This window comes from Homo sapiens, chromosome 6 (genome assembly GCF_000001405.40).
Source record: "Homo sapiens chromosome 6, GRCh38.p14 Primary Assembly".
Classification (NCBI taxonomy): domain Eukaryota; kingdom Metazoa; phylum Chordata; class Mammalia; order Primates; family Hominidae; genus Homo; species Homo sapiens.
In genome coordinates this window covers 97,408,636-97,423,494 of record NC_000006.12, presented here as the reverse complement: position 1 = coordinate 97,423,494, position 14,859 = coordinate 97,408,636, and the positions used below count along the sequence as shown (strand labels likewise).

Genomic DNA, 14,859 nt, shown 5'->3' with positions numbered 1-14,859 from the left:
TTCTCCAATAGTCAGGATTCAAGGGTCTAGGAATTAAGAGTGAAAATGAGAGTGACACCAGTCAGTATTACCCCTAGTTACCCACTAGTAAAGTTCTTGCTTTCTGTTTCAGTGATTTTATAATCTGCTGGTCTAGAAGTCTCAGTTTCAGAGAGAATATTACAACTGTGAGACACAACAACCATTCCATTGAACTGGAAGTTAAGAGTGCCAACTGGAAACTTTGGGCTCCTCATGCCTCTGAATCAACAGGTAAAGAAGAGAGACAAGGGTGTTGGGTAGGGTAATTGGTCCTGACAACAAAAGAGACATTGGACTATGACTCCATAATGGAGGTAAGGGAGAGTATGCCTGGATTATAGGAGATTCCTTTGGGTATCTCTTAGTATTACCAGGCCCTGTGATTAAGGTACATGGAAAACTACAACCCAATCCAGGCAGTACTACAAATAGTCTAGACCCTTCAGAAATAAAGATTTTAGTCACTCCTCACACCCACCCCAGGTAAAGAACCATAACCAGCTGAGGTTCTTGCTGAAGGCAAAGGAAATACAGGATGGACAGTATAAGGTAATTATAAATACCAGTTACTACCACACAACCAGTTACAGAAATGAAAAATTTAGGGACTTGGGGCAGAGCAAGATGGTGGAAGAGAAGGTTCTACCAGTCGTCCCTGTGGCAAACACAATTTAACAACTATCTACACACACACACACACACACACACACACACACACAAACTCTATAAGAACAAAGGAAAAGGTGAGCACTCACAGTACCTGGTTTTAACTTCATATCATTGAAAGAGGCACTAAAGAGGTAAAAAAAAACAGTCTTAAATCACTGACGCCATCCGTCCTCCATCCCCTGGCAGCAAAAGCATGGTACAGCATGTTTTGGCGATTGGAGAGAGGGAGAGCCTAGCATTTGTTAGGCACTGAACTCAGTGCTACCCTAATATAACAGAAAACAAAACTGGACCAAACTCAGCTGATGCCCACCCACAGAGGGAGCATTCAAACCAGTCATAGCCAGAGGGAAATCACTGATCCCAGCAGTCTAAACTTAAGTTCCCAAAAGCTTCCCTGTTGTGAGTTAAAGTACTCTGGGGCCCGAAATAAACTTGAAAGGCAGTCTAGGCCTCAAGGACTGTAACCCCTATGTGAGTCCTAGTGCTGAACTAGGCAGGCCCAGGGACAGTGAACTGGGTGGGGAGGGTGGGGAGGTGGGCTGGTATATGACCTACTGAGACACCAGCTGGAGCAGCTAAGGAAGTGCTGACATCACCTCTTCTCTAACACTAGGATGCACAGCTCACAGCTCCAAAAAAATCCTCTTCTCTCTGCTTGAGGAGAAGGGAGGGAAGAATGCGGAGAACTTTGTCTTGTATCTAGGATACCAGCTCAGCCACAGCAGGATAGGGCACCAGTCAGAGTCATTCCAGGCCCTAGCTCCCAGATGACATTTCAAGACACACTGCACCAGAAGAGAATGCACTACCTTAAAGGAAAGGACCACGTCCTGGCAGGACTCATCACCTGCTAGCTGAAGAGACCTTAGGCCCTGAATAACCAGCAGTGAATCCCAGGTACTATGTCAAGGGCCTTTGGTAAGACTCTGAGGCTTGCTGCCTTCAGGTGAGACTCAGCACATTTCCAGCTGTGGTAGCTATAGGGCAAGAATCCTTTCACTTGAGAAAGGTGGAGAGAAAAGCAAAGGGTACTTTGTCTTGCACCTTAAGTACCAACTCAGTCACGGGGGGTAGAGCACCAAGTGGGCTCTTGGGGTCCCCAGTTGCAAGACTTGGCTCTTGCATCCAAAAGGGAAGCCCACTGCCCAGAAAGGTGAGTACCAGGCCAGGCAGCATTCACCACAAGTTGACTGAAGAACTCTTGGGCTTTAAGGGAATGTCAGTGGTAGTCTGGCAGTACCCTCTGTGGGTCTGTGGTGGCAGTGACCATGGGGTGAAGCTCCTCTGCCTTTGGAAAGGGGAGGGAAGAGTGGGAAGAACTGTGTCTTGTAGTTTGAGTGCCAGCTCAGCCACAGCATAAGAGAACACCAGAGAGACTTCATCAGAGAGACTTCTAAGGTTTCTGACTCTAGTCCCTGGCTCCCAGATCAGATAGCACCTCCAGGTTAACACAGAACTTGGGGGAGCTTGCTATCCTGAAGGAAAAGACACCGACCTGTCCAGTTTGCCACCTTCTGATTGTGGAGCCCCAGGGCTTTGAGAAAACACAGGCTATAGCCAGGAAATAATTACAGTAGCCCTTGGGCAAGACCCAGTGCTATACTGGCTATGGAAGGTCTGACCTAGCACAGTCATAGTGGTGGTGACCACAGGAGTGCTTGTGTCACCCCCAACCCCAGCTCTAGGTGGCTCAAACAGAGAGAGAGAGACTGCATACGTTTGGAAGAAAGTAAAAAAGAGAACAGGAGTTTCTGCCTGGTAATCCAGAGAATTATTCTGGAACTTGTCCAAGACCATCAAGGAGGTACCTCTGCGAGTCTGCAAGAACCACAGTATTACTGGGCTCACAGTGTCCCCTAAAGTAGATACTGCTTACATCACAACCACCAATCTGGAATATCTGGAAAGCCTTCCCTAGAAGCCTGGGTACAAACAAGTCCAGACTGAGAACACTACAATAAATACCTAACTCTTTAATTCTCAGGCACAGATGAACATCTACAAGCATCAATATCGTCCAGGAAAACATGACCTCACTAAATGAACTAAATAAGGCACCAGGGGCCAACCCTGGAGAAACAGAGATATGCGACCTTTCAGACAGAGAATTCAAAATAGCTGTGTTGGGGAAATTCAAAGATAACACAGAGAAGGAATTCAGAATTCTATCAGATAAATTTAACAAAGAGATTGAAATAATTAAAAAGAATCAAGCAGAAATTCTGGAGCTGAAAAATGCAATTGCCACATTAAAGAATGCATTAGAGTTTTTTAATAGCAGAATTTATGGAGCAGAAAAAAAGAATTAGTGAGCCTGAAGACCAGCTATTTGAAAATACACAGAAAAGACAACCAAAAAAAATAAAAAACAATGAAGCACACCTATAGGATCTAGAAAATAGCCTCAAAAGGGAAAATCTAAGAGATATTGGCCTTAATGAGGAGGTAGAGAAAGAGATAGGGTATAAAGATTATTCAACGGGATAATAATAGAGAACTTCCCAAACTCAAAGAAACAATATCCAAGAATAAGAAGGTTATAGAACACTAAGCAGATTTAACCTAACAAAGACTACCACAAGGCATTTAATAATCAAACTCCCAAAGGTCAAGAATAAAGAAAAGATCCTAAAAAGCATCAAAAGAAAATAAACAAATGACATACAATGGAGCTCCACTACAGCTGGCAGCAGACTTTTCAATGAAAACCTTACAGGCCAAGAGAGTGGCATGATATATTAAAAGTGCTGGAAGAAAAAAGCTTTTACCCTAGAATAGTATATACAGCAAAAATATTCTTCAGTAATGAAGGAGAAATAAAGGCTTTTCCAGACAAATAAAAGCTGAGGAATTTTATCGACATCAGACCCATCCTACAAGAAATGCTAAAGAGAGTACTTCAATCAGAAAGAAAAGGAGGTTAATGAGCAATAAAGAATCATCTGTATAAAACTCACTGGTAATAGTAAGTACAGAGAAAGAATGCAAACTATTATAATATTGTAACTATGGTATATAAACTACTCTTATCTTAAGTAGAGAAACTAAATGATAAACCAATTAAAAATAATTACAACAACTTTTCAAGACATAGACAGTAGAATAAGATATAAATAGAAACAACATAAAGTTAAAAAATGGAAAAACAAAGTTAAGGTGTAGAGTCTTCATGAGTTTTTTTTTTTTTTTTGCTCCCCTGTTGTTTGTTTATACAAACAGTGTCAAGTTATTATCAGCTTAAAATAATGAGTTACAAAATAGTGTTTACAAGACTCTTGGTAACCTCAAACCAAAAAAAAAAAATACAACAAATACATAAGAAAGCAAAAAACTAAATCATATCACCAGAGAAAATCACCTTCACTAAAAGCAAGACAGGAAGGAAAGAAGAAAGAAAAGACTACAATACAATCAGAAAACAAATAACAAAATGGCAAGAGTAAGTCCTTACTTATCAATAATAATAATGAATGTAAATAGACTAAATCCTCCAGTCAAAAAGACATAGAGTGGCTGAATGGATTTAAAAAAAAAGACCAATGATCTGTTTCCTATAAGAAACATACTTCACCTGTAAAGAAACACATAGACTGAAAATAAAGAGAGGAGAAAAGATATTCCATGACAATGGAAACCAAAAAAGAGCAGGAATAGCTATACTTATATCAAACAAAAGCGATTTCAAGACAAAAACTATAAGAGACAAAGAGGGTCATGATATAATAATAAAGGGGTCAATTAGCAAGAGGATATAACAATTTTAAAAATATGTACACCCAACAGTGGAGCACCCAGACATATAAAGCAAATATTATTAGCACTAAAATAAGAGATAGACTCCAATACAATAATAGCTAGAGACTTCAACACCACACTTTCAGCATTGGACAGATCTTCCAGACAGAAAATCCACAAGGAAACATTGGACTTATTCTGCAGTATACACCAAATGGACCTAATAGATATTTACAGAACATTTCACCCAAGAGCTGCAACATACACATTATTTTCCTCAGCATGTGGATCATTCTCAAAGGTAGACCATATGTTAGGTCACAAAACAAGTCTTAAAATACTAAAAAAATTAAAATAATAGCAAGTATCTTCTTTAATCACAGTGGAATAAAACTAGAAATCACGTAAGGATTTTGTAAAAAATACCAGCAAATTAAACAATACGCTCCTGAATGACCAGTGGGTCAAGGAAGAAATTAAGAAGGAAATTGAGAAAAAAATTGGAACAAATAATAACAAAAACATAAAATATCAAAACCTAGGGGATACAGCAAAAGCAGTACTAAGAGGGAAGTTTACAGCTATAACTGCCTGTTAAAAAAAAAGGAGAAAAACTTCAAATAAACAACCTAACAATGCATGTTAAAGAATTAGAAAAGCAAGAGTAAAACAAACCCAAAATTAGCAGAAGAAAAATAATAATAAAGATCAGAGCATAAATAAATGAAATTGAAATGAACACAACAATACAAAAGATCAATGGAACAAAAAGTTGGTTTTTTGAAAAGTTAAACAAAATTGATAAACCTTTAGACAGACTAAGAATAAAAGAGAGAAGATCTAAATAAATAAAATCAGAGATGAAAAAGGAAACATCACAACTGACACTGCAGAAATTCAAAGGATCATTAGTGGCTATTATTAGCAACTATATGCAAATAAATTTTAAAATCTAGAAAAAATGAACAAATTCCTAAATACAAACAATGTACCAAGGTAGATCCATGAAGAAATCTAAAACGTGAACAGACCAATAACAAGAAACAAGACCAAAGCCATAATAAAAAGTCTTGCAGCAAAGAAAATGCCAGGACCCAATGACTTCACTGCTGAATTCTACCAAACATTTAAAGAACTAATACCTATCTTACTCAAACTATTCTGAAAAATAGAGGAGGAGGGAATACCCCCAAACTCATTTTATAAGGCCAGTATCACCCTGATACCAAAACCAGAAAAAGACACATCAAAAAAAGAAAACTACAGGTCCACATCTCTGATGAATATCCATGCAAAAATCCTCAACAAAATACTAGCAAACCAAATTCAAGAATACCTTAAAAAGATCATTCATCATGGCCAAATAGAATTTATCCCTGGCAAGCAAGAATGGTTCAACATATACAAATCAATCAATGTGATACATCATATCAACAGAATGAAAGACAGAAACCACATGATAATTTCAAATGATGCTGAAAAACCATTTGATAAAATTCAATCTCACGTCATAAAAACCCTCAAATAACTGAGTATGTAAGGAACACACCTCGACATAATAAAAGCCATATACAGCAGACCCACAGCTACTAACATACTGAATGGGGAGAAACTGAAAGCCTTTCCTCTAAGATCTGGAACACGACAAGGATGCCCACTTTCACCACTGTTATTTAACATAGTACTGACGGCATTGACCACGGGGTGAGGCTCCTCTGCCTTTGGAAAGGGGAGGGAAGAGTGGGAGGAACTGTGTCTTGTAGTTTGAGTGCCAGCTCAGCCACAGTATGAAAGAACACCAGAGAGACTTCATCAGAGAGACTTCTAAGGTTTCTGACTCTAGTCCCTGGCTCCCAGATCAGATAGCACCTCCAGATTAACACAGAACCTGAGGGAGCTTGCTATCCTAAAGGAAAAGACACCGACCTGTCCAGCTTGCCACCTTCTGATTGTGGAGCCCCAGGGCTTTGAGAAAACACAGGCTATAGCCTACCTAGAGCAATCAGACAAAGACCTAAAGGGTATCCAAACTGGAAAGAAAGAAATGAAATTATCCTTGTTTGCAGATGATATGATCTTATATTTAGAAAAACCTAAAAACTCCCCCAAAAAACTATTAGAATAGATAAACAAATTCAGTCAAGTTGCAGGATACAAAATCAACCTACAAAAACCAGTAGCATTTCTATATGCTAACAGTGAACAATCTCGGAAAGAAATCAAAAAAGTAATTCCATTGACAATAGCCACAAATAAAATTAAATAACTATGAATTAACCAAAGTAAAAGATGTCTATAATGAAAACTATAAAATACTAATGAGTAAAATTGAAGAGGACACAAAAATATGGAAGACATTCCATGTTCCTGAATAGGAAGAATCAGTATTATTAAAATGTCCATACTAACCAACGCAAACTACAGATTCAGTGCAATCCCTATCAAAATACCAGTGACATTCTTCACAGAAATAGAAAATACAATCCTAAAATTTTTATGGAACAACAAAAAACTCAGAATAGCCAAAGCTATCCTGAGCAAAAAGAACAAAACTGGAGGGATCATAGTATCTGACTTCAAATTACACTACAGAGTTACAGTAACCAAAATCGCATGGTATTGGCATAAAAAGAGACACATAGACCAATGGAGCAGAATAGGAAAACCAGAAACAAACCCACACACCTACAGTGAACTCATTTTTACAAAGTCTTTTTCCCCAGAGAACATACACTGGAGAAAAGACAATCTATTCAATAAATCCTTCTGGGTAAATTGCATATCCAAATGCAGAAGAATGAAACTAGACCCCTACGTCTTGCCATATATAAAAATCAAACCAAAATGGATTAAAGACTTAAATCTAAGACCTCCAACTATGAAACTACTACAAAAAAAACACTGGTAAACTCTTCAGGTCATTGGTCTGGCCAATGACTTCTCGAGTAATACCCCACAAGTATGGCAACCAAAGCAAAAATGGACAAGTGGGATCACATCAAGTTAAAAATCTTCTGCACAGCAAAGGATACAATCAACAAAGCAGAGACAACCCACAGAATGGGAAAACATATTTGCAAACTACCCATCTGACAAGGGATTAATAACTAAAATGCATAAGGATCTCAAACAACTCTACAGGAAAAAAAATTAATAATCCAAGTGAAAAATAGGCAAAATATTTGAGTAGACATTTCTCAAAAGAAGACATACAAATGGCAAGAGGCATATGAAAAGGTGCTTAACATCATCGATCATCAGAGAAATGCAAATAAAAACTACAAAGAGATATCATCTCATTCCAGTTAAAATGGCTTTTATCCAAAAGACAGGCAATAACAAACGCTGGTGAGGATGTGGAGAAAAGGGAACACTTGTACACTATTGGTGGAAATGTAAATTAGTACAACCACTATGGAGAATAGTTTGGAGGTTCCTCAAAAAACTAAAAATAGGGCTATCATATGACCCAGAAATCCCACTGCTGAGCATATATCCAAAAGAAAGGAAATCAGTAAATCAAAGACTTACTTACATGAAAAACATATTCCTATGTTTATTGCAGCATTGTTTACTATAGCTAAAATTTGGAAGCAACCTAAGTGTTCACCAATGGATGAAAGGATACAGAAAATGTGGAACATATACACAATGGAATACTATTCAGCCATAAAAAAGAATGAGATCCTGTCATTTACAATAACATGGGTAGAACTAGAGATAATTATATTAAGTAAAATAAGCCAGGAACAGAAAGACAAACATCTCATGTTCTCACTTATTTGTGGGATCTAAATATCGAAACAATTGAACTCATGGACATAGAGACTGGAAGAACGGTTGAAAGATAGTTAGGGCTGGAGGGGTGGTGGGGATGGTTAATGGGTACAAAAAATTAGAAGAATGAATAAGGCCTACTATTTGATACCACAACAGGATGACTACAGTCAATAATAATTATACATTTTAAAATAACTAAAAGAGTATAATTGGATTGTTTGTAACAGAGGATAAATGTTTGAGGGGATGGATACCCTATTCTTCATGATGTGATTATTACACATTGTGTGCTTGTATCAAAACATCTCATATACCCCATCAATACATACACCTACTATGTACTCACAAAAATTAAATTAAAAATTTAAAAATGATAGCTCCTATACAAAAATTCAGATTCTTCTTTGGGTAAAACCAATTTTTCACATTACTAATTTGATGATCATTCACTTGTAGTAGATGCTATAACAAAAAGATCTCTCAGGGTGGCCAGTTATGGGATCATTTTCAGTTTGCCAAATGATAATATTTTAAAACAGAAAGAGTTATTTTATCTTATTTGATTTATTTATTTATTTAGACAGAGTTTCGCTCTTGTTGCCCAGGCTGGAGTGCAATGGTGCGATCTCGGCTCACTGCTACCTTCACCTCCCAGATTCCAGCAATTCTCCTGCCTCAGCCTCCCAAGTAGCTGGGATTACAGGCATGTGCCACCACGCCTGGCTAATATTGTATTTCTGGTAGAGACGGGGTTTCTCCATGTTGGTCAGGCTGGTCTGAAACTCCTGATCTCAGGTGATCTGCCAGCCTCAGCCTCCCAAAGTGCTGGGATTACAGGCGTGAGCCACTGTGCCCGGCCAAAAGAGTTTTTTTTTTAAATATTAGGTTGGTGCAAAAGTAATCGCGGTTTTTGCCATTAAAGGTAATAATAAATAAAAGCAACATACGTATAAGAACTCTTCCAAAGTAAAAAAAATGAGGATTTAATCGTTATGTGTATTTCCTCCTTAATTTTTATGAATATGTTTGCATGTAAATATACCTGTATTAACAAACTATCTTTGTTTTCTTTTCTATTTCCTTATCATTAACATAAGATGTTACATAACTTATGTTAAGTCAATATGTATTAACATAAGATGCATATCAGTATTTAAGCACAGCCAGTCCTTTGTATCCACACGTTACCATCCACGGGGTCAACCAACAACAAATAGAAAATATTTTGGAGAAAAAAAGCACCTGTACTGAACATACACAGATTTTTTTCTTGTGATTATTTCCTAAACAATTCAGTGTAACAACTATTCACATAGCATTTACATTGTATGTGTTAAGTATTATAAGTAATCTAGAGATTATTTAAATTAAATGAGAGGACATGAATAGGTTATAAGCAAATATTACACCATTTTCAGTCAGGGACTTGACACCTGCAGATTTGTTATTCATAGGAGCTCCTGGAACAAATCCCCCATGGATACTGAGGAATGACTCTATTGTTAATTTTACATGATAATATTTAAGTAAAGGGATATCAAAAGAAGAGTAAACATCACTAAAGGACTTACCTCCTCATCTAAAGAAAGGATTAGTATGTTTTTGTTTCTACACAGGATACTTGTATCATATTAGGTAGAATTATGACCTTGTTATTATCTTTATTTGAAGATTAAATTTGATTTAAGGAGATGTATATGTGTGCTAAGTTGACAAGGGGCAGACTTGTGATGGCTAATTTGTCACAAATGAACAGTTTGGGCAAATGGATGCCCAGATAGCTGTTAAACATTGCTTCTGGGTGTGTTTGTGAGGGTGTTTCTAGATGAGATTAGAATTTTAATTGGTTGACTGAGTAAAAATGATCACCCGCACCAGTGTGAGTGGGCACCATCCAATCTATTGAGGGAGGGCCCAGTGGAACAAAAAGGCAAAGAAAAGGCAAATTCACTCTGTTTCAGCTTGGACACCCATCTTCTTCTGCCCTCAGACATCAGTGCCCCTGGCTCTCAGGCTTTCACTTCAACTGAATTATACCACCAGCTTTCCTGGTTCTCTAGCTTGCAGATTGCAGATTGTGGGACTTCTCAACCTCTGTAATCACAGAAGCCAATTTCTAATTTTTATATACAGGCACACCTTGTTTTATTGCACTTCATTTTATTGCTCTTCGCAGATGGGATTTCTACAAATTGAAGATTTGTGACAACACTGCATTGAGCAAGTCTACAGCATGTGCTCACTTCATGTCTCTGTGTCACATTTTGGTAACATTTGAAATATTTTAAACATTTTCATTATTATTATATATGCTATGGTGATCTGTGATCAGTGATCTTTGATGTTGCGATTGTAATTGTTTTGGGATGCCATGAAGTGCACCCATGTAAGACAGCAAACTTAATTGATCAGTTGTGTGTTCTGACAGCTCTACTCATTCCCCCATCTCTCATCCTCTCCTTGAGTCCCCCTATTCTCTGAGATACAACAATATTAAAATTGGGTCAATTAATAACCCTACAGTGGCCTCTCAGTATTCAAGTAAAAGGAAGAGGCACGTACCTCTCACTTTAAAATCAAAAGCTAGAAATGATTAAGCTTAGTGAGGAGGGCATGTTGAAAGCTGAGCTATACCAAACAGTTTTGTCCCAAACAGTTAACCAAGCTGTGAATGCAAAGGAAAGGTTCTTAAAGGAAATTAAAAGTGCTGCTACAGTGGACACTTGAAAAATAAGAAGGTTAAACAGCCTTACTGCTGATTTGAAGAAAGTTTTAGCAGTCTGAATAGAAGGTCAAACCAGCCACAACATTTGCTTAAATTTTCCCATTTAGAAAGAAAAAAAAAAAAGGTGCAGCTTTCTGCCAGCACTCATTTAAATTTACATAAACACACTCTTTGAGGCTGAAGCAAATCTGACTGATTTTTAGTGTGAAAATAAAATATAAAAACTGTTCTTGGAGTTATTTCTAAACAGAACTAACATCAGAATCATCTATTTCAGAAAAATTGAATTCATCAAATGAATCCGGCCAATAACTGTTCAAGAAAGATGTTAACATTACGCATAGAAATGCTGCGTTTTCTAGGATTTGACATTTTCAGTGATCGAAAATTACTACATTTTGTCAATGGAAATACCACTACTAAAAACAGAATGTTATAAGTAGAATGATGTCTTTTGTTTCCAAAGTTGATGTACTAGAGTGATGCAAAAATAATAATAAAAGTGAGATATTTCTTGGCAAAGTTATTTTGGGGTAAATGCTGCAGCCACAAGTGCCACTGGTGAGTATTCTTAAGGCAAACTGAAAAAGAGTTAATCCAAACCCTAATCCAGAGTTAATCCTAACTCCCTTCAATTACATTAAGGCTGAGAGAGGTGAGGAAGTTGCAGAAGGAAAGCTGGAAGTTAGCAAAGGTTGGCTCGTGTGGTTTAAGAAAAGAAGCCATCTCCATAACAAAAAACAGCAAGGTGAAGCACCAAGTGCTTGATGTAGAAGCTGCAGCAAGTTGTTGAGAAGATCTAGCTAGCTAAGGTCACAGAACAAGGTGGCCACGCTAAACAACACATTTTCCACATAGAAAACAACAGCCTTCTATTGAAAGAAGATGTCACCTAGGACTTTCATAGCTGCAGAGAAGTCAATACCTAGCTTCAAAGCTTTGAAGGACAGCCTGACTCTTTTGTTAAGGGTTAATGCAGCTGGTGACTAGAAGTTGAAGCTAATGCTTATTTATGATGACACAAATCCTAGGCCCCTTAAGAATTATGTTAAGTGTACTCTGCTTTTGCTCTGTAAATGGAAGAACAAAAATCCTCATGATGGCATGTTAGTTTACAGCATAGTTTACTGGATATTTTGAGCCCAGTATTGAGATACATTGTTCAGAAGATTCCTTTCAAAATATTATTGTTTATTAACAATGCACCTAATCACCCAAGAGCTCTGATGGGTATATACAGGAAGATTCATGTTGATTCCATGCCTGCTAACACAGCATCTATCTTGCAACCCATGGATCAAGGAGTTATTTCAACTTTCAATTCTTATTAGTTAAGAAATACATTTTTGTAAGGCAATGGCTGCTACAGATCATGATTCCTAGGATGCAACTGGGTAAAGTAAATTTAAAACATTCTGGAAAGGATTCACCATTCTTCATGTCATTAAAAAAAACCATTCGTGATTCATAGAATGAGATCAATATGTCAACGTTAACAAGATTTTGGAAGAAGCTGATTCCAACCCTCATGGATGACTTTAAGGATTGAAGACTTTAGTGGAAGATGTAACTGCAGATGTGATACAAAGAACAGGAAAACCAGAATTACGAGTGAAGCCCAATGATGTGACTGAATTGTTGCAATCTCACAATCAAACTTGAATGGATTAGGATTTGCTTCTTATGGATGAGCAAAGAAAGTAGTAGTTTCTTAGAGATAAAATGTAATCCTGTGAAGATGCTGTGAACATTGTTGAAAGGACAACAAAGAATGTAGGACATTTCATAAGCTTAGCTGATAAAGCAACAGTAGGCTTTGAGAAGATTGACTCCAATTTTGAAAGAAGGTCTACTGTAGGTAAAATGCCATCAGAGATTTCTACACACAAATCTTTCATGAAAGGAAGAGTTAATCAATGCAGCATACTTCATTATTTTCTTCTTTTAGGAAACTGTCACAGCCACCTCAATGTTCAGCAACTACCATCCTAATCAGTCAGCAGCCATCAACATACAGACAAGAATCTCCACCAGCAAAATGGTTACACCTCACTGAAGGCGCAGAAGATCACTAGCATTTTTTAGCAATAAAGTATTGTTACTTAAGGTACATACTTTTTTTTAGATATAATGCTATTGCATATTTAATAGACTACAACATAATGTAAACATAACTTTTATATGCACTGGGAAACTAAAAAAATTGTGTAACTCACTTTATTGTGATATTTGCTTTATTGTGATGCTCTGAAATCAAATCCACAATATCTCTCAGGAATGCCTGTGTTTATATATACATACATAACATATGTATGTATATCTATATATGTATGTATACATTGTATACATATATGTATGTGTATATATGCATATATACAGCATGTGTATATATTGATATAGTAATATACTGATATATTAAATATATGATATATACATATACATCAATATATTACTATATCATGTAATATATGTTTATGTATAGTATACATGTACCTATACATAGATATACTATACAATAAACATATATAGTGTATATATACATGTATTTTATATATACATCATATATGTGTGTATGTATACAATATACACATTTAGTGTATATAGGCATATATTTTATATATTTACATCATATATGTATATTGTATATATACACATTATATACAATAAAAATATATGTATATATGCACTATATACAATATACATATATAGTGCCTATATATTTTTATATAATACATCATATTATATTGTATATATGTATATGCATGTATATTGTATATATACACTATATATGTATATACATCATATATGTAATATATCACATATAGTTAACATATGTATATGTCTATATATGTATATAGTATATATGCATAAATTATGTTATGTATATATGTGTTATATATTAAGTAAATATCTCCATATAGTATACATAATACATAAATATACACATATGTATATATTTAATCTCTTTTTTTTCAATTTTTTAAATTTTACTTTAAGTTCTGGGATACATGTGCAGAATGTACAGGCTTGTTACATAGTTATACATGTGCCATGGTGGTTTGCTGCACCTGTCAACCTGTCATCTAGGTTTTAAGCCCCGCATGCATTAGGTATTTTTCCTAATGCTCTCCCTCCTGTTGCACTCCGCCCTGCAACAGGCCCCGGTGTGTGATGTTCCCCTCCCTGTCTCCATGTGTTCTCACTGTTCAACTCACTGCGGTGTTTGGTTTCCTGTTCCTGTGTCAGTTTGCTGAGAATGATGGCTTCCAGCTTCATCCATGTCCCTGCAAAGAACATGAACTCATCCTTTTTATGGCTGCATGGTATTCCACGGTGTATATGTGCCACATTTTCTTTTTTTTTTAATTATACTTTAAGTTCTAGGGTACATGCATATGCACAACATGCAGGTTTGTTACATATGTATACATGTGCCATGTTGGTGTGCTGCACCCATCAACTCATCATTTACATTAGGTATATCTCCTAATGCTATCCCTCCCCCTCCCCCCACCCCACGACAGGCCCCAGTGTGTGATGTTCCCCACCCTGTGTCCAAGTGTTCTCATTGTTCAATTCCTACCTATGAGTGAGAACATGCGGTGTTTGGTTTTCTGTCCTTGCGATAGTTTGCTCAGAATCATGGCCACATTTTCTTTATCCAGTCTATCATTGGTGGGCATTTGAGTTGGTTCCAAGTCTTTGCTATTGTAAACAGTGCTGCAATAAACATACATGTGCATGTGTCTTTATAGTAGAATGATTTATAATCCTTTGGGTATATAACCTGTAATGGGATTGCTGGGTCAAATGGTATTTCTGGTTCCAGATCCTTGAGGAATCACCACACTGTTTTCCACAGTGGTTGAATGAATTTACACTCCCACCAACAGTGTAAAAGAGTTCCTATTTCTCCACAGCCTCAC

General features: G+C 36.7%; 1 long non-coding RNA gene across 1 annotated transcript in view, besides 1 other annotated feature; it reads right to left on the bottom strand.

Moving 5' to 3' along the window:
• The window catches only part of LOC101927314 (uncharacterized), a 403,332-nt gene that overhangs the window by 285,423 nt on the left and 103,050 nt on the right, over window positions 1–14,859 (bottom strand). The window lies entirely within an intron of this gene.
• Window positions 701–1,404: an enhancer, noted in NCBI's record as "OCT4-NANOG hESC enhancer chr6:97869967-97870670 (GRCh37/hg19 assembly coordinates)". NCBI's record gives its function as "activates a minimal SCP1, AML or CMV promoter by ChIP-STARR-seq in naive and primed H9 embryonic stem cells {active_cell/tissue: H9 hESC(naive and primed)}" and the evidence as "EXISTENCE:reporter gene assay evidence [ECO:0000049][PMID:30033119]".